The sequence below is a fragment of the Homo sapiens genome, chromosome 10, assembly GCF_000001405.40.
Source record: "Homo sapiens chromosome 10, GRCh38.p14 Primary Assembly".
NCBI lineage: Eukaryota > Metazoa > Chordata > Mammalia > Primates > Hominidae > Homo > Homo sapiens.
This window is the reverse complement of record NC_000010.11, coordinates 15,609,041-15,633,541: the sequence shown is the minus strand read 5'-3', so window position 1 is coordinate 15,633,541 and position 24,501 is coordinate 15,609,041. Positions and strand designations below refer to the sequence as shown.

Below are 24,501 nucleotides of genomic sequence, written 5' to 3'. Positions count from 1 at the left end.
AACTTGCTTGAACCTGAGAGGCGGAGGTTGCAGTGAGCTGAGATTGTGTGCTGCTGCGCTCCAGCCTGGGTGACAGAGCAAGAATTCATCTCAAAAAAATAAATAAAAATAAAAGGAATTTGGCATAAAATAATTAATGTTGACTGTTTCAGTTTTATGTAATGAAAATGTTGCCTAGTTTGTCTTTGTTAGTATGTACTGCAGAATTTTTTAACCATACCTTCTTTATTTTTTTGATCATGCTAAAAAGGAAATTCTATATATAAGTTAAAGGAAATGCTTCCTAGTTTTTTCAAAAAGGCAATTTTGGAAGTGAATTGGTCCAAAATGATGGAAGCATACATGGAGAGAGGTAAAAATGAAAGGTGGACTGGGGACAGTTAACAAAGAGCCTTGAATAGCATGTTTAGCAATTAGTTATTAGGAAAGTAATGGAAAAAGATATATGCTCTGTATTCCAAAGTGGTGCTTTAAGGACCTCATTCCTTAGCAATGAGCAGAATGAGTAATAATGAAAAAGAAACATGAAATCAAAAGTCATTAAAGTATCCCAGGGGAGGATAATGAGATGAACCACGTGATGTAGCAGCAAGGCCAGGGCAGCTGGAGGTGTCTGGAGATTAAAAGCCTAAAGAATGAGGACCAGCAGTGACTGTCCAGCCTCCCATCCTTCATAAGACAGCCTGGGAGCTGCTGTGCACACGTCTCAAGAGATCCCACTGTCTATATATCGTTAACCTTGAAATAGGCCTTTATATTCAGAGGTGTGTTAAAAATTGGTTAACAACCAGCTCCTCAGGGAGAAAAAAAAAAGCCCAGATTTGTACCACTTACCAATTTCCATGGTATAAATATCCTCACCATGATTGATTTCAAGCTGTAGTGACCTTGGTGTGATAAGAGTGCTACAATTGCTATCTGTATCACTGAATGAACCTGAAATACCGACCTGCTTCTGCCCAGTCACTTACAAATACACTAATCTCCTGTTTGTGGGATGTCTTTCCAAGAGGGAATTACTATTTTCAGAAATTCACAGATCCAGGTTGAGAATGACTGTTGTCTACACTCACAGCTGCATTTATGAAAAGACCAAAACAAAGATTAGCTATAGTCATTTTCAAGTCCGATAACATAATATCTGACTTTTTTCCAGCTTTAGATTAAGATATGAAAATGTAGGAACTGTCATCTCTCTCAAACAAATATTTCTATTTTGCTTAGTGTGTTGTGAAAACCTCTGAGTACCTCCATCTGCCTTATTTCTGACTCCCCTTTGAAGAGGCAATCCTATTGAAAAAGTGGACCTTATCGACACAGCTATGTCAATGACCTTAAATGTGAAGCCAGGACTCCCTCACACACCTGAACTCCATCCCTCCCCATGCTTGAATCAGGTTCTCAGATAAAGCCTTTCACAAGTAATAAATCCTTATTATTTCACAAATAATATAGCCTTCAGAATCCAGATTCTGTCCCAAAGCAGGTTTAAATCATATCCCACTCATAGGTAGTAAATACAGCAAATTTCCCTCGCCAGATACAAGAGATCTAACTATATGGCTATTAGATTTTCTATGCCACAAATCATTTGTCAGTTTAAGTTTGAACTAACTTCCTTCCAAATAATCAGAGACTGGGTTCTTTCTGAAACCCAGTGTATATGATAGGATATTATTTATACTTGATCTTGCTTATAAAGATACAGTTAATAGAAATTTGCTGCTTAGCCATGGCTTTTTTTGGGGGGGGTGGGGCTAGAAGTCCAATGTGCTATCAATTGTGCCATAGAGTCCTCTTGGCCATGGCTTTTTTTTTTTTTTCTTAATATACTTTAAGTTCTGGGATACATGTGCAGAACATGCAGGTTTATTACATAGGCATGCCCGTGCCATGGTGATTTGCTGCACCCATCAACCCGTCATCTACATTAAGTATTTCTCCTAATGCTATCCCTTCCCTAGCCTCCCACCCCTCAACAGGACCCGGTATGTGATGTTCCTGTCTCTGTGTCCATGTGTTCTCATTGTTCAACTCCCACTTTTGAGTGAGAACATGTGGTGTTTGGTTTTCTGTTCCTGTGTTAGTTTGCTAGGAATGATGACTTCCAGCTTCATCCATGTCCCCGCAAAGGACATGAACTCATCCTTTTTTATGGCTGCATGGTATTCCATGGTGTATATGCGTCACATTTTCTTTATCCAGTCTATCATTGATAGGCTTTTGGGTTGGTTCCAAGTCTTTGCTATTGTGAATAGTGCTGCAATAAACATATGTGTGCATGTGTCTTTATAGTAGAATGATTTATAATCCTTTGGGTATGTACCCAGTAAAAGGATTGCTGGCTCAAATGGTATTTCTGGTTCTAGATCCTTGAGGAATCGCCACACTGTCTTCCACAATGGTTGAACTAATTTACACTCCCACCAACAGTGTAAAAGCATTCCTATTTCTCCACATCCTCTCCAGCATAATATCCAGAATCTATAAGGAACTTAAATAAATTTACAAGGAAAAAACAAACAACCCCATCAAAAAGTGCATGAAGGATATGAACAGACACTTCTCAAAAGAAGACATTTATGCAGCCAACAAACGTATGAAAAAAAGCTCAGCATCACAGATCATTAGAGAAATGCCATTCAATACCATAATGAGATACCATCTGTTGCCAGTTAGAATGGTGATCATTAAAAAGTCAGGCTTTTTTTAAAAAATAGGATATAAGGAATGGAGTATGAATTAGTTGGAGTCAATTTCTCCTGTGTTTAGAACCTCATATTATTTCTTCCCTCCCTCTGCATGTTTTTTAATATGTCACTTTGAATTTACTAATATGTAAATCGGAAGCCATATTTTCAGGTCATTCACCTGATGCATCCCTTCTGCCTCAGAGTCTCTCTGTGCCCTGGCCATTTTCCCAGGAGTTCATTTCCCACTTAGACACTCAGTCAAATGTCACTTCCTCAGGAAGCCTTCCCTGAACTGTTGTCCTTCCCCTGAAAACAATGATCTCAGATGGAAATTACACATGTGTGCAATTCTTTGATAAATGTCCTTTCTGCTCCACTAAACTGGACACTGTATTAGTTGAGACTGGGAGTGGATTTGGCGTTACTCACTGCGAAATCCTAATGCCCAAGGCAGCGGCTGGCACAAAAGGCAACTTGTCGATATTTGTTAAGTGAATAATTGAATGAATGAATATGAATAAATGAATAAATAAACCAGCATCCTTCCAGCTGCACACCTTGTATATAAATTGTTGCTCATATCTTTAACTTGCCACTGTGTTTCAACTCTACTTAAAATCCAGTCAACTATTTTATGTTTGTGCAGAATGAGAATGGAAATATAAGTAGAGATGATGATGATGCCCTTTAAAATAAATGTTGGCATCTGTCTCCTGTTACTCAAAGTAGCAGACTGATTCTTGGCTAGCGTTTAACCCTTGACCCTAGTTCTGCCTTCACCAGTGTCAATCGAGAAAAATGACAAGTCTCAATTATTTTAAGAGGTTTATTTGCCAAACTTAAGGATGCATTCCTGGAGACAGGTCTGTGCCTTTCTCCAAACTTGTTTTTTTGTTTATTTGTTTTGTTTTTTATTGTTGTTTGTTTAAGTCTTGCTCTGTCACCAAGACTGGGGTGCAGTGGCACAATCTTGGCTCACTGCAACCTCTGCTTCCCGGGTTCAAGAGATTCTCTCTTCCTCAGCCTCCCAAGTAGCTGGGATTATAGGTGCATGCCAGCACACCCAACTAATTTTTATATTTTTAGTAGAGATGGGGTTTTGCCATGTTGGCCAGGTTGATCTCAAACTCCTGACCTCAAGTGATCCACCTGCCTTGGCCTCCCATAGTGCTGGGATTCCAGGCATGAGCCACCATGCCCAGCCTCTGAAGACAATTTTAAGGGCTCCAAATTTAAAGGGGAAAGGGCAGAATATTGAGAAATACACAATTTTCATTTAAGAGGAGGGTAGGGAAAAATAATCATGCCTGCCTTTGTCTGGCTCAGTGAATCTGCATTTTTCTTTTACATAAGATGACATAGACAAGTGGGGCAGAGGAAAAATGCAGGGAGCCTGCCTTTCATATAAGATAACATAGATGAAATGGGGCAGAGGGGGTGACATAGATGAAATGGGCAGTGGGGGTGACTGCACTTATAAAGATATGCTATCAATTTACATTGCCGTGGTGAAATATTAACAGAAACCCCCTAGAGTGAAGATCTTGCAGCTCACTAGGAATTTCCTTGTGGGCAAAATATGGGGGAGGCATGTAACTTTTCATCTCGTTCAGGAACCAAAAACGGAGAGGCAGGTTTGTGTGACCCAGTTCCTAGCTAGACTTCTCCCTTTGGCTTAATGAGTTTGGGGTCCCAAGATTTAATTTCCTTTCTCACTGGGCCTTCAGATGCCAGCTGCTCTTGGCTGTGAGACCAGGAGTACGAGTAGGCAGTGTGATGGAAAAAGCGCCGTGAGTAGGGGTACCTAAATTCTCTTTTGTTACCAGCTCTGCAGCCTGGGCCGCACTTGCAGCTCCTTAACCTTAGCCTATCCAGCCACAAAAGAAAGGTGATCAGACCAATGCCCACCACTCAGGATTGTTGTAGAGACAATTTGCATGCTGTAAAGTACTCGCACAGTTAATTGTTCCTTTTTAATTTTTAAATTTTTTGATACATAATATTTGTAGTTATGGGGTACATGAGATATTTTGATACACACAACAAATGTGTCATGAGCAAGTCAAGGTATTAAGGATATCCATCACCTTGAGCACATCAATTGTTCTTATTTTTAAACACCACTGGCCAAACGGAGGTAGTGTTACTGGAAAGGGGTCCTGATCCAGACCCCAAGAGAGGGTTCTTGGATCTTATGCAAGAAGTAGAGGTGAATCTGGCCGGGCGCGGTGGCTCACACCTGTAATCCCAGCACTTTGGGAGGCCAAGGCGAGCAGATCATGAGGTCAGGAGATCAAGACCATCCTGGCTGACGAGGTGAAACCCTGTCTCTACTAAAAATATAAAAAATTAGCCAGGCGTGGTGGTGGGCGCCTGTAGTCCCAGCTACTCGGGAGGCTGAGGCAGGAGAATGGCGTGAACCCAGGAGGCGGAGCTTGCAGTGAGCAGAGATCGGCCACTGCATTCCAGCCTGCTAGACAGAGCGAGACTCCATCTCAAAAAAAAAAAAAAAAAAAAAAAAAAACCAAAATAAATTAGAGGTGAATCCATAAAGTGAAAGGAAGTTTATTAAGAAAGTAAGATAATAAAGAATGGCTGCCATAGGCAGAGCGGCAGCATATGGGCCGCTCAGCTGCTTATACTTACTGTTAACTTCTTGATTATATGCTAAACAAGGGGTGGATTATTCGTAAGTTTTCTGCGAAAGGAGTGGGTAATTCCGAGAACTGAGGGTTCCTCCCGTTTGTAGACCATATAGGGTAATTTTCTTACGTTGTCATGGCATTTGCAAACTGTCATAGGGCTGGTGAGAGTGTCTTTTAGTATGCTAATGCATTCATTATAATTAGCATATAATGAGCAGTGAGCAGGACCAGAGGTCACTCCCGTCACCATCTCGGTTTTGGTGGTTTTGACCGACTTCTTTACTGCATCCTGTTTTATCAGCAAGGTCTTTGTGACCTGTATCTTGTGCTGACCTCCCATCTCATCCTGTGACTCAGAATGACTAACCTGGGAATGCAGCCCAGTGGATCTCAGCCTTATTTTACCCAGCCCCTATTCAAGATGGAGTTGCTCTGGTTCAAATGCCTCTGACAGTAGGAGGCATAAAAACAACCTCCAAGGCTGAGGGTCCAGGTTCTGCACCCCAGACCCAGGCCTGTGCCATCAGATGTTGACTTGGGGAATCTCTGTCTCAAACCTCTTCTGGGATGACAGATGGGAGGTTTTCAAAATAACTAATACAGCAACAAAGGCCTCTTTCATCTCTTTTGTCCTTCCTGTTTGCAAGCATTGTTCATGTGATGCTCTTCTTTCTATATGCCAACCCTTTTAGATTTTCTTACTGACGTTTTCCTGCAATTACATTAATAGCTGGTTACCTGAAAACTATCAACCCTAAGAGAAGTTCACGAGATAGCCAGCGTAAGCCAGAAAGCTGGCGGTCCAACCAGACCACAGACTAAAGAGTGAAGCAGGTGAAGCTTGTCTGGGGGATGCTCAGCCCCTCTCATCCTGTTACCTCTCTTTTCTGTGCCTGAGGGCTGCTGCATACTAATTGCAGAAACTTACACTCTTTCCTCTTCTCAAACATGTGAAAGAGAAGGATCTTATCAGAATGTGAGTGATCCAGTGAAAGTAGGTCCCACCCAGGGACTTCAATTCAGTGGATCCTGGCCTGTGTTTGTAATATGACCCCTCAGTGAGTTGATTGATAGACTCTAAGTAGCTGGAAGGCAGGGGAGTGTCTGTTTTTAAAGCCCCCTGCTGAATCCTGGGCAGTTAGGGTGGGACCTGGCTCATGCTGGAAGTTCAATAATGAGTTCTTAGATGAGGGTGTCCAGTATAGGGAACCACCTGTGTACCTGTTCTTCCCTTCCTCTCCCATCTCCCTTGCAACTCCGTCAATCGCAAGGCTGCCATCACACATCACAGACTGGAGGGCTCAAACAGGGATACATTTCCTACCAGTTCTCTAGGCTGCAAGTCCAAGATCAAGGCGTCAGCAGGGTTGGTTTCCTCTAAGCCTCTCTCTTTGGCTTGTAGATGGTCATCTTCTCCCTACATCTTCATGTTGACTTCTCTCTGTGCATATGTCTGTGTCTTAGCTTCCTCTTCTTATAAGGACACTGGTCCTATTGGATTAGGGCCCACCCAGATGATCTCATTTTAAACTAATTACCTCTTTAAAGACCCTACTGAAGCAGTGTTTTTGTCTGGGGTAAATACCTGAGGTTCATTGTTTCACGACAAGGGAATCGAGGGTGCAGATATACACAAGAACTGGGTTTAGGAGCAGCGATTTGATTGGCAAAAGAAAGAGAAAGGAGGCCGGGTGCAGTGGCTCATGTCTGTAATCCCAGCACTTTGGGAGGCCAAGGTGGGAGGATTACGAGATCAGGAGTTCGAGACAAGCCTGGCCAAAATGGTGAAACCCTGTGTCTACTGAAAACACAAAAATTAGCCAGGCATGGTGGTGAGTGCCTATAATCCCAGCTGCTCAGGAGGCTAAGGCAGGAGAATTGCTTGAACCCGGGAGGAGAGGTTGCAGTGAGCCATTGCACTCCAGCCTGGGCAATAGAGTGAGACTGTCTCCAAAAAAGAGAAAGAAAAGAAAAGAAAAGAAAGAACATCTCTCTCTCCAGAGTGCACTGGATTTTATAGACAGGTTTGAGGAGGCAGTGTCTGATTTACATAGGGCCCAAAGATTGGTTGGACCAGGTGTGACATTTATACAACATGCAAGGAAGCTGGCTGCCCCACCCTAATCTTATCATGCAAATGGAGTTTTTGCCTGGCAGGTGCCATGTTGCCTGTTTCTTCCTGTATACCTGGCTGGCAAAGATGGAGCCACCATTTTGAACATGGCTAGTCCCAGGTAGCCTTTTCTTATTGGCACAGATGCCAGCATTCACCCATGCAATCTTCCAGCTTGCTTGTCTATGTCTGCAGCTCGATTTTATAGGCTGCTCTTTGCTAGAAAAGAAAATGATTTGGGGGCTGCTTTTCATTAAAAGGAAAACCTTACTGAGGACTCCCGTACCCTCATATCTGCCTAAATAATTTCTTCTTAACTCCTATATCACTATCTCCTAATATAGTCACATTCTGAGGTGCAGGCTAATACAGTCACATTCTGAGGTGCTGGCAGTTAGGACTTCAACATAGGACTTTTTTGGGGGGACACAATTCTGCCTAAAACACTTAGCGAAATCATCAAGTCCCATTAGGTTTTTATCAATAGGAGTTTATCTGTCAGGCTAGGTGTCAGGGAAGCATCTTTGTGAGCTATCACGCTCTTCTGGAGACTGTGAAACACTTTCCAATAGGCAGCTACATACAAGTGACACTGGTACTGTAGAAATAAACCTTCCTCCAGGGCTTTCAGCAATTGCACAGACGGCACACATGTGATTCAGTGTGGCCCATGAAGAGGATAAAGTTAAATGCCTTTGATACGGTGACACGAAATACAACAAGTTTAGGATCAAACAGTTGAAGGTGGAAGGATCATTCTTGTAGCCACAGGATGCTAATAATATACAGAAAACTATTTTCATAAGGCAGACTCATCATTTGATATTCTGCTGTTATTTTTTGTGGGATTGTTTTAAAAGGAAAACAATCCCCCAGTAAATTAGAATGTTGCAACCTAATACCATGTTCCAACTCATAAATGTTTTTCTTCAGAGTTCATTTGGAAGCATTTCAGACAGATTGTTAGGATTATTACTTTCTGGGATAAAATCATGCTTTTTTTTTTTCAAACATTTCTTCCTCAACTCATAACCTTCCTCTCAGTAATATTTTGCATGTTGCAATAAAAAAGCAAGGCAGACAGGCAACTTCTATTTTTAGATTAACACGTTTGCCAAAGTCAAGGAGACTTATCTAAATGCTGGATTCCCACAGACATGAGCTGTGTTTGCAATGCCAGACACTTAAGCCAATTTCATAGCCCACTCACAAGTGGACATTGCCAGATGTATCCGCCATCTGTAACCCCACCATTGGACACATTATCTCGAATTCTCTTATTTCTCTTAATATCATCATTGTATGAAAGTGAGCCAACCTTGGGTTGGTTTATCTAAACAACTATACTTGATGGCCTTAGTTCGTCTTTAAAATATTTGGGTGCTGTGGGAAGAGGATTGGCAGGATGGGACCTGGGCAGTGATGGGCAGTTCCTGGAGGAGATTCTGTGAGCTGTGGGCAGTTGTATTGCCAAGACAGGAGTCAGGCGTCTGTAGAGCTGAGTTATGAAGGCGAATGGGAAGAAGTCCAGTCTGGTGAAGCCAGGGAGAAAGCCAGAAACTGGCTGTCTCTCAGTGGAGGCACAAGGAGTCCCTAAATCTGCAGGAACACAGCTGAGTCCAAAAGCAAAGCAGAGTCCTGGATTGTACATCAAAGTGCCCAGAATGCAGTCATCAGACTCCAACAAATGCTACTGAGCTCTTGCCCTTCTCATCTAGAGAAACTTAAAGACCACCAGAGATTCAGCAATGAAGATTGACTTGTTCAATGTCATTTAGAAGCCAGTAGCAAAGTGAACTGGAGTTGAGAATTGCTGATTTTTCAGCTGCCACTTGGTAATTTTGCACCTGACATACAACACCGTGTTTCAAAGAAGTCTTCAAAGGTTTTAGAGAGATTCAAAGAGAGACAACGGGCAAGTCAAAATTGGCCTGTTGATGCACAAACTGCTGTACACCGATGTTGACAGTGACTTTGCAAAAACTGGAAAAACCTCAGGGTTCCCTAAGCCAGGGATGGATGAATAAACTGTGGGCCATCTACACAGTGGAATACTACTCAGCAGTAAAAAAATGAACTCCTGGAACACACAACATTGTGGATGAATCTCAAATGCACCGAGCTGAGTGCAAGAAGCTAGACCCAAAAGGCTGTATGGCTCCATTTATATGACGTTCTGGAAAATAGATTAGTGGAGTCCAGGGGTTAGGAGACAGGTCAGGCTTGGCTACAAAACAGCATGGGTGACATTTGGGCATGATGGGACTGTTCTCTGTCTTGTTGTGGAAGTGGTTACAGGTCTGGGTGCATTTATCAAAGCTCTTAGCTCTGCTTACTAAAAAGGATGAAATTTATCATAATAAAATGTATCTTTATTTATTTATTTTTATATCTATTTATTTATTGAGATGGAGTCTCACTCTGCCACCCTGGCTGGAGTGCAGTGCTGCAGTCTCGGCTCACTGCAACCTCCATCTCCTGGGTTCAAGCGATTCCCCTGCCTCAGCCTCCTGAGTAGCTGGGATTAAAGGCAACTGCCACCACACCAGGCTAATTTTTGTATTTTTTGTAGAGATGGGGTTTTGCACTGTTGGTCAGGCAGGTCTTGAACTCCTGACCTCAAGTGATCCACCCACCTCAGCCTTTCAAAGTGCTGGGATTACAGGCGTGAGCTACTATGCCTGGCCATATCTTTAATTTTTTTTAAAGGCTTAAGGAGAGAATAAAAACAGCATGTAGTTGTGCACCTAGAAGGCAGTGTAAAAAGGAGCCCAGTGTGGGTTCAGGAGCCAGACTGCCTGGGTTTAAACTTTGGTCTTGTGACTTTACTGTATTCGGGCTCTGTACCTCATTTTTCTCATTCTAAGATGGGGATAATAAAAGTATCTTTCTCATAGGATTGTTGTAGCACTTAAAGGAGGCAATTATATTTAAAATGTTTAGAATATTAGCTTTTCTTTGATCTATCTTTACACAACTGTCCAACATATCCTCAGGATAAATTCCTAGAAGTAGAAACTAGGTCAGCGGTACACATAGTCATACATATCAACAAACTGCCTTCCATGAAAATAATGCTAATTTATACTCCCTCAAACAGCCTATAAGCATACCTCTGCTCTCTATCCAACACCACCTAGTACTAATCTTTTCCAATTCACAAGGTTAAAAAATGATATATCTATGTTCCCTTCATTTGGATTTCTTTGATGACTAGTAAGGTTGAAGTCTTTTCATATATTTATTAGTCACAGATATTTATTTTTATGTGAAATGGCTGTTTGTAATCTTTTTAAGAATGTTTATAGTTTTAATACTAATTTGTATGATTAGGCATAATAATCAATGTTAACTTTTTTTTTTACCAAGTGCCAAACATTCCTCTAAACATTGAAAAATATTAACATTTAATCAGGCATATACATTATAAACATTTCACCCTGTTGCTTTTGTTTCTCTTTCAGCCTTGCTCATGTGGTTTTTTTTTTGTTTTGTTTTGTTTTGTTTTGTTTTGTTTGCTATAAAAGTCGTCTAGATTTTGAAATTCCTTTGTGATTTCTACATTTTTGGTCATGTTTAAGGAGGTCTTCCCTTTTGATTAATCATAATGTTTTTATACAACTATAAGATAGACACTACCATGTTTCACATTTGTTTGGAAATTCCTGGTGGCCATTCTCATTGTCTGGAATTATTCTAAAATAGTAAATGTTTTTTAATTCCAAAAAAAAGAAGATGTCCAATGGCATTTTTGGGAACAGATATAAACATCAGTGTATCTGTCAAGGAGATGAGAGTGAGAAGTGGGAAGAAGGAAGCAGGAGGAAGGTGACTTAGCTTAGGAAGTATAGGTGCTTGGGTGGCCACAGAGACTGCTCCCCTGAAATGATTCTGGGTGATTCTTTTTTGTTTTTTGTTTTGTTTTGTTTTGTTTGAGATGGAGTCTTGCTCTGTCGCCCAGGCTGCAATACAGTGGCATGATCTCGCTGACTGCAACCTCCACCTCCCGGGTTCAAGTGATTCTCCTGCCTCCACCTCCCAAGTACCTGGGATTACAGGCATGCACCATCATGCCTGGCTAATTTCTGTATTTTCAGTAGAGACGGGTTTTCACCACATTGGCCAGGCTGGTCTCGAACTCCTGACCTCAGGGGATCTGTCTGCCTTGGCCTCCCAAATTGCTGGGATTACAGGCATGAGCCACCGTGCCCAGCTGTTGTTTTTTTAATGGGGTCTCACTATGTTTCACAGGCTGGAGTGCAGTGGCACCATCATAGCTCACTGCAATCTCAAACTCCTGGGCTCAAGCGAGCCTCCTACTTCAGCCTCTGAAGTAGCTGGGACTACAGGTTTTATACCACCATGCCTGACTGATTCTTTAATCTGATACTGTCAGCTCTTCCTCATCTTCCCCTTTGGCCTGACCGTTCCCTAGGAGGGGTTCACTCTCCCTCCCTTCACTGTTTCCTGCCCACCTAATCCAAACCTCAGATCCACACTCAAAACAAAGCTGATGTTTTCAAATAGAACTTCTTCCAACACTAAAATTTCTTTCCCAAATTAGTGAAATCAGACTCTGCAAACCAAGCACCACTTTAAAGGTTTGGCTTTTCTTCCTCATTTAAAAATAACGATTTGCAAGAAATAAAATACAAAACATAGGTGTAATGCATCTCCTATGACCTCACATTTTTAGGGTTTTTTTTTCTTGCCAACTGATCCTGCATTCATGCCAATGTCCCCTTTTTGTTTCCTTAAAAGTACTCAGTTGTTCCATCAAAAGCCAAAAAGAAAATAAACTATGTTTCTCAGGCAACGTGAGGCAATAGCAAAGGCCTCCAGCAGTTTGGGAACAGTTTTTGATTGAAAGGAAAGACCCAATTTTAATTGTCAGTTATTTCCTCCAGGAAAAAAAAAAAAAGCCAGCTTAAGTGTCTATGTATAGAGAAAGGCAAAGTTTTTTATTTGTTTGTTTTCAATTTGCCCTTAAGGCATTTATAGAAAGGAAGTAAACATAGATAATGGTATCAGACCCGTTATCTCAAAGTAAGGGAGAAAAAAATGTTCCAAGTGTTATAAATTCAAATATCAGCCCTGAAACTACTTTGTCTCTAGATTAACATTTAAATTCCTAAGCACAGAATTATGCAATATCTTAAAATATTATTTCTGAGTATTATTTAAATATCATTTCACATGCACACATAAATATACACACTCCAGCATAAATATAAATGTATGTGTATATAAATAGAACAGATATATAACAGATACGCTGCATACACAAACTTCTATACTTATGTGTGTATAGATGGAAGCAGCGTAGTACTTTCCAAAGCCAACCACATATTTTGAAAAGAGAAATTCATTCAAAACACAAACCAGCAAATCAGTTCTCCTCCCCTGGAGAGATCTGACAATTTTAAGGTCCCGAGCATAAGTACTTCTGGCTCTTTCTAGCAGGCATATTCCCAAGGTAGTGTCTCTAAAGGCAAACATACTTTTGTGGTAGGTAACTGTTTTCTTTGCCTCTGAATAACCGTGACCACATTCTCATGAAGAAAATTGTGGCCTGTGTTGCCAGTTATTTTATTTTTCCAGAGTAGAAAAAATTCCCACCCGAAGGCACAGAAATTAAAGTTCCTAAAGGAAAAGCCCATGTCTCATTACCGTTGGGAGGGTGTCCCTCAAATTCTCACGTATAATGACAATCTAGTTGTGATGGAGACTTTATATTACTTTCTAGAATCTGGAACGTGTGTGTGTGTGTGTGTGTGTGTGTATCTCAACACCTTCAAGTATACATGCAAAACTCCAGCAGAATTTAGCTGCAGTTGACATTAGTCGGTTTTAATTGTTTCATTTTCTTCATCTCTAGTATCTTTAGTTTATTATTACATTATTACTTATGCTCCCTATTTAATCAGGCATTTATGAAGTCTCTGTTCTGCATCTGGCACTGTGCCTGGTAACATGCATGCAAAGGTTATTTCTTTCTTCATTTATTTCAACCCATACCATTCCATGAATATTTGGGGATGTGCAAACGTAAAGATTCCTGCCCTGGAAGGGCTTACAGTCTTATTTTCTTTGCCATTTCCAGAGAATCAATTCTTAAAATTCGCCTGTTATTTATAAAATGTCTAATCTTATTAAATAAATATTTCACCTTATTTGGGGCCAAGAACAAAGCACATAATTCATCGTGAATCAGTTTTCATAACAGAGCTCTCCTATCTGGTGTCATGTCAACAGATATGGATTCAGGCCAGGGCCACCTGTGTTACACTTGTCTAAATATTGGAGTTTGTAATTACACAGGAAGAACAGAGCTCATGTTTCTTCAAATCGGTAGCTCTTTTTTTCTCTGATTTAGAAAAAAAAAGTACCAATCTGTTAGAAGAGACAATGTAACAGAAAGAATACATGTAAACATAGTTGAAAAATTGAAATTCTGATAGAATTTATCATTATAATTTTAAAAACTGGTAAACTTAGAAACTTCGGCATCTGGCTTCAGAGATTTAAACCCTTACAAAAGAATGTTTTATTCCATGAGTCCTAGGTGGCCAAGGTGTAGCCCTTTGCTTAATGTGTTCTTTAATGCCATGAATATGGAGCTCTTTAGATGACGTCTGTTCGACTTATTTGAACATCAGCATGCACATGTTTTTAAATATGGAGCTCTGGAGTCAAGTTCCAAGTCTAATAACTGAATCTGATTCTGTGTCCATAAAACCTAAGACATCTGACAGTGGTTTTGACCTGGAGAACTTTCAGATCATTTTTTTTTAAATTTTAACAAGTATTATTGTGTCTTAGGTTGGGTTGTCCCAGAGCAGGCATTAAGACAAAGATGAGAAAACAAGCAGTGCATTTAAGAAATCCTGAGAAATACTGGTAAAGGTAGAGAAGAGAGACATGGAAAAGAAGAATGCAATAAAGATCATCATCAAGCCAGTTGCCACTACGGGCAATCAGGGCCCCACCTGGCTGAGGAAAGCAAAGTCAAAGAACAAACCTCAGCTATCCCACTTGACTGATAAGGAAGCTGGGCCACTCACTTTCTAATTCCTACCTGTAACTGACTAAAAGCCATTCTCAGGGACACTAAGCCCTCAAGGGGAGAATCATCTGCAGTCTCTCTCTGTTCACATGTACAGTGTATCAGTCAGGGTTCTCTAGAGGGACAGAACTAATAGGATTGCTGAACATATAAAGGGGAATTTATTAAGGAGTATTGACTCACACGATGACAAGGTGAGGTCCCACAATAGGCTGTCTGCAAGCTGAGGAGCTAGGAAGCCAGTCCGAGTCCCAAAGCTGAAGAACTTGGAGTCTGATGTTCGAGGGCAGGAAGCATCCAGCATGGGAGAAAGATGGAGTCCAAAAGACTGAACCAATCTAGTCTTTTGTCGTTCCTCTGCCTGCTTTTATTTTGGCCGTGCTGACAGGTGATCAGATGGTGCCCACCAGATTCAGGGTGGGTCGGCCTTTCCCAGTCCACTGACCCAAATGTTAATCTCCTTTGGCAACACCCTCACAGACACACCCATGAACAATACTTTGCATCCTTCAGTCTGATCAAGTTGACACTCAACATCACATGTGCAAAAGGTGAGTGCCAAAGGGAATATGGCTGTAAATCATTTTTCTGTACAAATTCTATTACACCAATTTAATTCCTGACTTAGTTTTCCATATGGAGTGGCCAAATAGGACCTCCCTCCACCTTTGTTTTTTGTTTTTCTATTTTCATTCGCGTTGTGCTAGAATTAACCAATTATAGTTTCAACTGTTGTAAGTCTTCTTCTGTGGCCCTTATTTCTACCAAGTCCAGTTTTCTTTTTCTTTTTTTAAATTTATTTTAGATTCAGGGGATACGTGTGTATGTTTGTCACATGAGTATATTGCATAAAGGGGTTTAGGCTTCTAGCATACTCATCACTCAGATATTGAACACTGGACTCCGTGAGTAATTCTTCAACCTTTATCTCCCTCCCTCCTTCCCCAATTTTGGAGTCCCCAGTGGCTATCATTACCATCTTTACATCTATGTGTACTCATTGTTTTAGCTCCCACTTATAAGTGAGAACATGCAATATTTGATTTTCTGTTTCTGAGTTCACTTAGGATAATGGCATCTAGTTCCATCCATGTTGCTGCAAAAGACATGATTTCATTCATTTTTATGGCTACATAATATTCCATGGTGTTTATATACGACATGTTCTTTATCCAATCCACTGTTGATGGACACTTAGGTTGGTTCCATGGAGGTCCAGTTTTCTTACATCTAAATTTTACTCTGCAGATTTAGCCATTGTCATTTTTATTTGTGTTTGATTGCTTCTACTAGGGACAGCCACTGTAAATGAGATTAAGAAAAGCCCGCCAGGTGCAGTGGCTCATGCCTGTAATCCCAGCACTTTGGGAGGCCGAGGCGGGTGGATCATGAGGTCAGGAGATCGACACCATCCTGGTTAACACAGTGAAACCCCGTCTCTACCAAAAAATACAAAAAATCAGCCAGGCGTTGTGGCAGGTGCCTGTAGTCCCAGCTACTTGGGAGGCTGAGGCAGGAGAATCACTTGAACCCTGAAGATGGAGGTTTCAGTGAGCCGAGATTGCACCACGGCACTCCAGCCTAGGCGATGGAGCGAGACTCTGTCAAAAAAGAAAAAAAAAAAACAGACAGTTTGACCTCTATGTTAGCCAATCACCTAAATAATTGTGACCATTCCCCCTTACCTAGTCCAGGATTGCTCCACTGCAGTCAACCAGTTCCACCACTTACCTACTTGTGTGAATGTTAGGAAATTTACAGTTTAGCCTTCTTAAGTCTCAATTGACTCATTTGCAAAATTGTGCTAATAATAAAGACCTCCTACCTTCTTGTTAGGAATCATTCAAAGGAAATCCTTTAAAAGGCCTCCTGGCATATAGTGCTGTTCCATGTGCTATTTATTAGGATTGCTGTTGTCATTTCAGATCATTATAATATGTTAGTTATTTTATATACTACTGATTGCTTTGCCAAAAGTATACTCACCACCCATACTATTTGTAAAGAGCAAACGGTTGTGTCAAAATGACAATCAGAACGTTCCACTTCTGGGTTAATACCCTTCCTCATAGGGTATTCACTGGTGAGAGTGATAACACGAAATGTGTAATGAGCCTGGTACCTAGCAGACACTAAGCAGCTGACTTTCCCCTTTTCCTTCCCTGGGTGTATATGCCTTGAACCTGAAGGATAGGAAAAGTGATGCGATGATGAGTTTCTAGAAATTGACCTTCCTAAGCACAGAAGGGTTTGAGATCCACTGATGGACGTTTTATTAAGTTGGTTATAGTGAAGCTCCAACATCCTTTCCAAAATGCCTTAAGAAAGGTGTGATTTCTCTTCTAATTTTGTGGCTCTCGTACCATCAGCATGTAGGGGTATTCTATGTGCTACTTACGATTTTGAACTTAGTAAATTGTTTCTATACGATTCACGCATGTGTTCTGTGTTTTTGTCTTTTTAAGATTTGATTGTGGGTGCATTTGGAACAGGAAAAGTCGCTGTTTACAGGTATGTGGTTGGTAGTATTCAAATGTTTTTCTCATTGTTTCAAATACATTTTCTTGTTAGTTCTGCCTTAAAGAGAGCATTCCAACGATTTATTCTGGGGAATATTTAGATGCTCTTTTTAAAGTCTAGAGGTATTTTTTGCTCTCACTCTTTCTTTCCTTTGCATTTTTACTCTCATACTGCATGACCAAACTTCCAGATTTTATGAACATAACATTAAATAAGATATGAAATGAAGCAGATCTTATAAAATGACCCACTTTTTAGACGTTACTGAATTTGATTTATTCTCTTTGCTTTGGAAATGCATTGAAATGTTCACTTGTAAAGAAGCGGTGCAGGGTAGAAGAATGTTACTATTTATCCTGGCTTCCATAATCAAACTGGACACTAAGTTAGGGAATAGAACATTCCAAGAGTTGGTAGCCTCCAAAGGCAAGTATTGAAAACAGTTCAAATACAACAGCTATGGATTCCAAGCCTGGACATTCCATACACTGACTTATTTGTAATCTTGGGCAAGTTCTTATCACTTTCAGAGTTTCAGATTTCTGATCTGTAAAAGAAGGATAAAAACAACATTTATAACGTTACCTTTGTTCAAAGCATTCAGTGAGAATATGCGTGTGGTGTACACAGAATAGTAACTGGGAGAGAGGTGGTGCTCAACTTTAGCTTCTTTTAAAAAAAAAAGTTTTATGGCAGGACACGGTGCCTCATGCCTATAATCCCAGCACTTTGGGGGGCCGAGGTGGGCGGATCACTTGAGGTCAGGCATTTGAGACTGGCCTAGTCAACATAGCAAAACCCCATCTCTACTTAAAATACAAAAATTAGCCGGACATGGTGGTACACGCCTGTAATCCCAGCTACTCGGGAGGCTGAGGCATGAGAATCACTTGACCCTGAGAGGTCGAGGTTGTAGTGAGCAGAGATTGTGCCACTGCACTCCAGCCTGGAAGACAGAGTGAGACTCCATCTCAAAAATAAACAAACATAAAAGGTCATATGACTTATGAGAATTCAAGACACTAGGTCAGGATATCAAGACAAAAGGCCGAGGGCATACCTGGGTGTACTAGGTGCATAGTGCTAACCTAATCGGCTTCCAGAGATATTCTAAGGTTAAGTTTCCTCAAATAGGTAAGATTTTCTTCTTCGTCAGTCCCAAGACAAACTCAGAGAGGGTTGACTTGTACCAGCCATATCCCACTTAAGGTTCTAGAGAATCAGACAGTCAAAACCCTCAAGGTGTCTGAAGTATGGGGCTTGCGTTTGCGGTGGCTGTGGAGTGCACCACTCAGAGCTGCTGGAGCAGAATGGGCACAGGGCTCAGCTGCTCCGCTTCCAATCCGCCACTTTCATGCCAAGGCCTTGTTTTCCATGAGCTGCTCCCAGCCAATTAGCGGACACAACAAGAACACAAATGCAGGCCTGTTTTTGCAAGACATGGAACTCCTCTCACGGGCAAATTTGGCTCAAGGACTCTCCATTGCCCAGGCCAGAACTTTCTTACCCAGTCCTCTGTCCTTCCCTTGATCCTTCCAGGGATCAGAACTCCCAGCCCCCTCCATCTCCCCACTTTTCCTCATAAGTGTTTGATCCCAGTATATCTCTTGCATATCTAGTTCCGTTTTATCACCTGCTTTTCCAAGGAGTGGAACTAACACGGTATTGAAAGCAAAATTATGTAACAAAATACAGAGAAGTGGCTTGAAGGAACTTAGGAGGAATCCCATCAGGCCCACTGCTTATTGTTTAAAGCAGTGCTGTAAACCCATTCAGCCCCAAGACACAGCCCTTCTTCTTGTTGGGGGGAAACTTATCCAACATGGCTTCATTTCTCCCTGTCATTTGAGGACTTTGGCTTCCAACGATCATATCTTGGAACCAAGCTTTAAAATCTGCTCTATTCCCTTCCCCCATGATTTATTAATACTTTTTTGTTTTGTTATCCTCATCTGGGTGGCTGCAATTGAGTTTACTTACACTCTGTCAGTCTCTCTCCTCAAATTTGGCTACATATTATAATCACCTGGAGAGTTTGTTTAAAATTCCAATGTCTGATCCTTACCCCATAAGTTCTGGTTCAGTTGGTGTGGCAGGGCCTGGGCATAGAATTTGTTTTAAAGCTCTTTAGGTGATTACATTGTGCAGTCAGGATTGAGAACCACTTCTCTGGCTGATGTACAGAATTATTCTGCAAACCCTGCTTCGTGTATTTAGCTAAATTTGCAAAGCTCAGCTTGAAAACTATCAACAGAAATTTAAAAATTATCAATGATAATTTGCAAACTTCAAGTACTCACAAAATTAAAATTATCAATGAAAAGTTGCAAACTTCAAGTACTCACAAATACGAATGGCTGTAAGATGATGTATTTCATCAGATACAGATGTAGATATGCTAGCAGGTGGCAGAGCAATATTTCACAGCAATATTGCCATAATACCGGAGGCCCACTTCATAATGAAATTAGGTTGTGTACGCAACTTTGCTTGACAGACCCACAGCACTCTTTATTTGTATTTGTGTGCTTCCAGATGTGTTTTGAGGTAATTAGTTGAGTGTGATACCCAGCTGTTCATGCAGTGAGCAAAATTCTTGGCACAAATGCTGAGAACGTTGGCAATGGCCTGTGGAGTATTCTGTCTACTACTGAGTTCAGTATGCAGTGAAGTGGGCTTCTGCCTGCCTATCACCCTTGTGTTTTATTTAAACAAACCCTGCATTTTCTCCCCGCAGAGCAAGACCGGTTGTGACTGTAGATGCCCAGCTTCTGCTGCACCCAATGATTATCAATCTTGAAAATAAAACTTGCCAGGTTCCAGACTCTATGACATCTGCTGCCTGGTGAGTTAGTCCGGTGCTTCTCAAACTCCAATGTGAATTCACATCACCTGGGTATCTTGTGAAAAATACAGATTTGGATTCAGTAAGTCTGGGGTAGGGCCTAGATTTTGCATTTCTCGAAAAAAGCTTCAAGAGATGCTGCTGCTGCTGGTCTGTGGCCGAAGTTTGAGTAGCAAGGAGTTAGTCTTTCAAGAGAACCTATGATATGATGCTGATCTTTGGCTATCGACTTACCATTCAAAGGCTACTTCTCTAATCTATAGGCTCTAGGTGAGATGAGAAGTATAAAAACATTTGGGGAAATTCCCAGTCAAACAAATCTTGGAGATAGCTCTTAGATTCTTGGTGTACTAAAATAAACACTAACCAAGGTAAAAATATAACAAAATACCTAGACTCTTACATTTTGGCATATGCTTATAGATACTGCTTTTCAAGCACATATAATGTCCTGTTTATTTATTTATTTATTTATTTATTTATTTATTTTTTATTTATTGAGATGGAGTCTTGCTTTGTCACCCAGGCTGGAGGGCAGTGGCACAATCTTGGCTCACTGCAACCTCCACCTCCCAGGTCCAAGCGATTCTCGTGTCTCAGCCTCCTGAGTAGCTGGAATTACAGGCACCCACCATCATTCCCAGCTAATTTTTGTATTTTTAGTAGAGACGGGGTTTCACTATGTTAGTCAGGCTGGTCTCGAACTCCTGACCTCAGGTGATCCACCTGCCTTGGCCTCCCAAAGTCCTGGGATTACAGGCGTGGGCCACCATGCCCAGCCGATGTCCCATTTCTAACTAGTCAATTTACTGGGTTAATTTACTGGGTTTTCTATGCTGACAACAGATACCAGTTTTGTAACTTAGCATGCACAGCTAGACAGAAGGAACACATTATACAAGATTTTTGTGCCATAAGCTGTATTTTTTTGTCTGTCATTAAGAATAGCGATTGAATTATTCCTTTTGCTGGATGATGGAGGCTTTGCTTGTACTTTCAGAAGCTGGCTGATATGACTCCTGAAAGTGTTCCTTCTGAATTTTGTCAGCCATCTGGAGGGAGTACAAGATGGAACTTGACTATAACACAGTTCAAGAAAATACCACTGTTTCCCAATATGTAGGTCCTCAAGAGTTAGAAGTCACTATGTTGGTTAATACCTTCAGGGTATACCCTCTGAAAGATCAACAAATCCTTGGGGTGTTTAATATTTTGCCCTTATTTTTCAGGAGACGTGGTCTAACTCAGACAGTATTTTTGGTTTCTGAGAATGTCAGAATTGCAGAACTAACCACTCTTGACCCAGAGAAGTTATTTCCAGCCAATTTTAACATGTTGTTGATGGCCTTTTGACAGGAGTTCATACTGGAGTCAAAGCTTTTGAGGGTGGAGGGTGGGGACTTAGAGGACCCTGAAGAATTCTTTGAAAAACATCCTATTGCTGGGAGCTGGGGAGTGTGGCGGGAGAGCATCCTCTTCTTTAACTGCTCTTGAAAAGAGTTGGAAAATGCCCTGGGCACATTTGGTTAAAACCATAAAATAGTATAATGAAAACCTGATCTGAGAAAATATGTCAGAGAGCCAGCGTTTATCCTTACCCCTGCATGATTAAATGAACAATGAACTGTGAGAGTTGCTACTTGTTCATGAGTATTAAAACTTCAGTATTTCCCCCAAATAGGCTCATGTTCACACCTTCATAACAGAATGGACTTCTAGGCTGAATTCCTTTAAGCACATGTGGTACACTCTGATATAGAATGTTGTTGTTTTGAACTAGATAATTGATTCTAAGGGTTTTTAGTTTAATGCATATTTGTATAAGACTGAAGTGTGTGGTTTTTTTTTTTTTTTTTTAACCAGATTAAGAGTTCTGTTTGGGGCCGGGCGCGGTGGCTCACGCCTGTAATCCCAGCACTTTGGGAGGCCAAGGCGGGCAGATCACGAGGTCAGGAGATCGAGACCATGGTGAAACCCTGTCTCTACTAAAAATACAAAAAATTAGCTGGGCGCGGTGGCGGGCACCTGTAGTCCCAGCTACTCAGGAGGCTGAGGCAGGAGAATGGCATGAACCTGGGAGGCGGAGCTTGCAGTGAGCTGAGATCGCACCACTGCACTCCAGCCTGGGTGACAGAGGGAGACTCTGTCTCAAAAAAAAAAAAAAAAAAGAGTTCTGTTTGGTTTTATGGAAAGAATATTACTTTTTAACAAGAAAATGTCTTTCTTTTCATGAGCCATTTTCTTACTGCATTTAATCATATTATTAAGATAAAGTGCAATTTGTTATGTGGACAAATGTATATCCCTTTACAATTATATTTGTTTCTATTGCATACATTTTTCTGGAAGAAGTCTTATTTTCACATGCAAAATTTGTGAATGGTGCCTCAGAGCCTCAGAAGACAGAAAGTTAACAGCTGGTTCAGTCTAGAATGTGTTTCTTTGATTCTCTTTTTTCTTTATTTTAGGAACTTAGCTTAGTTTTTCCAAAATGATTGAAAGGTCTCCGTTGATTTTCTCTGCTGTTATTTGTGTCTGTATTTGATATAACTTTATATCATACATCTGAAAACTATCACATAAACTCTACTTGGCAAATAGTTCTTCACTTCCATCGATGTGGATTTCTGTGTCTTTCAAACAGCGGTGTAGTTTTATAAAGTATCTATCTTTAATTGGTATTTCTAAGTTAGAAAAAGGGGGAAAAAAGCCAGCTCAATAAATATTAATATAACTGGTGACTAACCAATTACAAAAAGAAAAACTAGCGAAATACTTCATTTTAGAAATGTAAAAGTGAGTAACGACCCAGTTGTCCAACCTGATTAAAAAAACTTGTCAGATGTGAGTGACTGTGTGAAACCTGCTATTTGCTATCACTGAAATAGGAGTGAAAACTGATGAGAATGTAAAATGAATTGCTTTGTACTTTTAAATCGTGTTTCACATTTATCTCATTTTCTCTTCATCATAGACAGCTGTGAGCACAGTCACAACGCAGAATCATTATTCCAACCGTGCTTGGGTTGGGACTAGCCTCAGAAGATCATGTAGTGTATCACCCTGCCTTCTGGCCATATCAAAAGCACTGTCCACAAACAGTTTAATTTAGAATTTATGTAATAAGGGACTTGGATTGATTTGATGGGTTTTTTTGTTCCAATCAGACCTATTTAGACTAATGGGCCATACTGAAAATGACCAATATTTCTAGTTTGAAATTTTAATTCTAATTTAATGAAAGTTTACAGCTTTCCCTAATGACCCAAGTATACTTTGTAATTAGCTGTAGGCCTGCAAGTGATCCTAATTCTATGCTCCATATGACCTGTGATGTATGTGTGCTTATATATAATATAGTATGTTTTCCTAAATTCAGCATGAACACATCAGCCCACTACTATAAAATCTTGAAATTTTCTTTAGATCATAACACAGAGTTTGAAAAATTATGACTTCACAGACTCTTTTCCACTAAAGTAATCTATTAACTGGCAGGTTTAGGTTGGAGTGCTATTATTGAGAATTCAGTACATTGTAGCAGTGATATTACACTTGTATGAAAAAAAAGTTAAAGTCATCCATTTGGTAATGATATTCAGAAAACAGAAAGAGTGAGCTAAGAAAGAAATAGAGATTTATACTGACAGGTAATTCATAAATAAATAGTAACCCTTTAGCTGATAACATCATTTATCAACTATATACCATCCCATAAGGAAAAAAATGTTCATTTGTATAACTTTATTCCTTTTTAAAAATTAGTTATTTTGAATTGTTTGTATTAAAAATACTGTATCTAAAATGATTTTAATGTATATATGTTGATAATGTCATTACAAATAGGAATTTATTTTATAAAAGCTAATGGCTTTGGTCTACACAGTTAAAGATGAATGGAAAAAAAGATCATTGGCTGATTTGAACATACACCAAAATACTTTCAAAAAGGTTGGATACAGAAAAATTCTAATTTTGAAAGCCAGGCTTACTACAAAATTGAAAGATGTGATTAACTCTTCATCTTTCTTGAATAATTCTAATTGAAGCAGAAGCAAGTTGGAATCAGTGATTTCTCTGGGGAAGCGGAATAAACACTTGTAATAGCGTAGACATTTCAGGAAACTTTTGGCTTAATGGTATGTGGCAAATTATTTACCCTGAGGGGAGACATTGACTGAGGTCACAGCAGATAGATGAATCCCAGATGTGACACTTTTTCATTATATTTGACACAGGAAGCTGACACATAATTAAAGTATGATTGGGGATTATTTACTCCCTTTGAATTCTGTAGAAATATCCACATCATACTATAGTATTTTACTGGTAAAAGTTTATGACTGTCATTAAACCATACTTAAGTATTTTCTTATATTTTCACTTTCCTAGAAATGTGAAAAGGCCCCATCTCTAGTGATAGCTGTTAGGGCTTGGAATTTTTCAGGGAGAGGTGAGCACTTTCATTCAACAAAGGCAGCCAGGGAGTCAGTCGTCTCTCATTCCATCTGTAGCCACAGACCAAAGCCAAGTGCAGATCATCCTATAAGCCAGTGCAGACATTGCCTTGAATGGTAGTGATGGTGTGTTCAAGGCACAACTCCAAAGTGTCTCTCATG

General features: G+C 40.3%; 1 protein-coding gene across 3 annotated transcripts in view; it reads left to right on the top strand.

Annotated features, from left to right (window-relative positions):
* ITGA8 (integrin subunit alpha 8) overlaps nucleotides 1–24,501 on the top strand; it is a 205,969-nt gene that overhangs the window by 86,381 nt on the left and 95,087 nt on the right. For all 3 annotated transcript variants that reach the window (NM_001291494.2, NM_003638.3, XM_011519752.3), the window contains 2 exons: nucleotides 16,983–17,028; nucleotides 19,775–19,882. In NM_001291494.2, coding sequence (NP_001278423.1) covers nucleotides 16,983–17,028; nucleotides 19,775–19,882 — 154 coding nt within the window. The remainder of the gene's footprint in view (nucleotides 1–16,982; nucleotides 17,029–19,774; nucleotides 19,883–24,501) is intronic.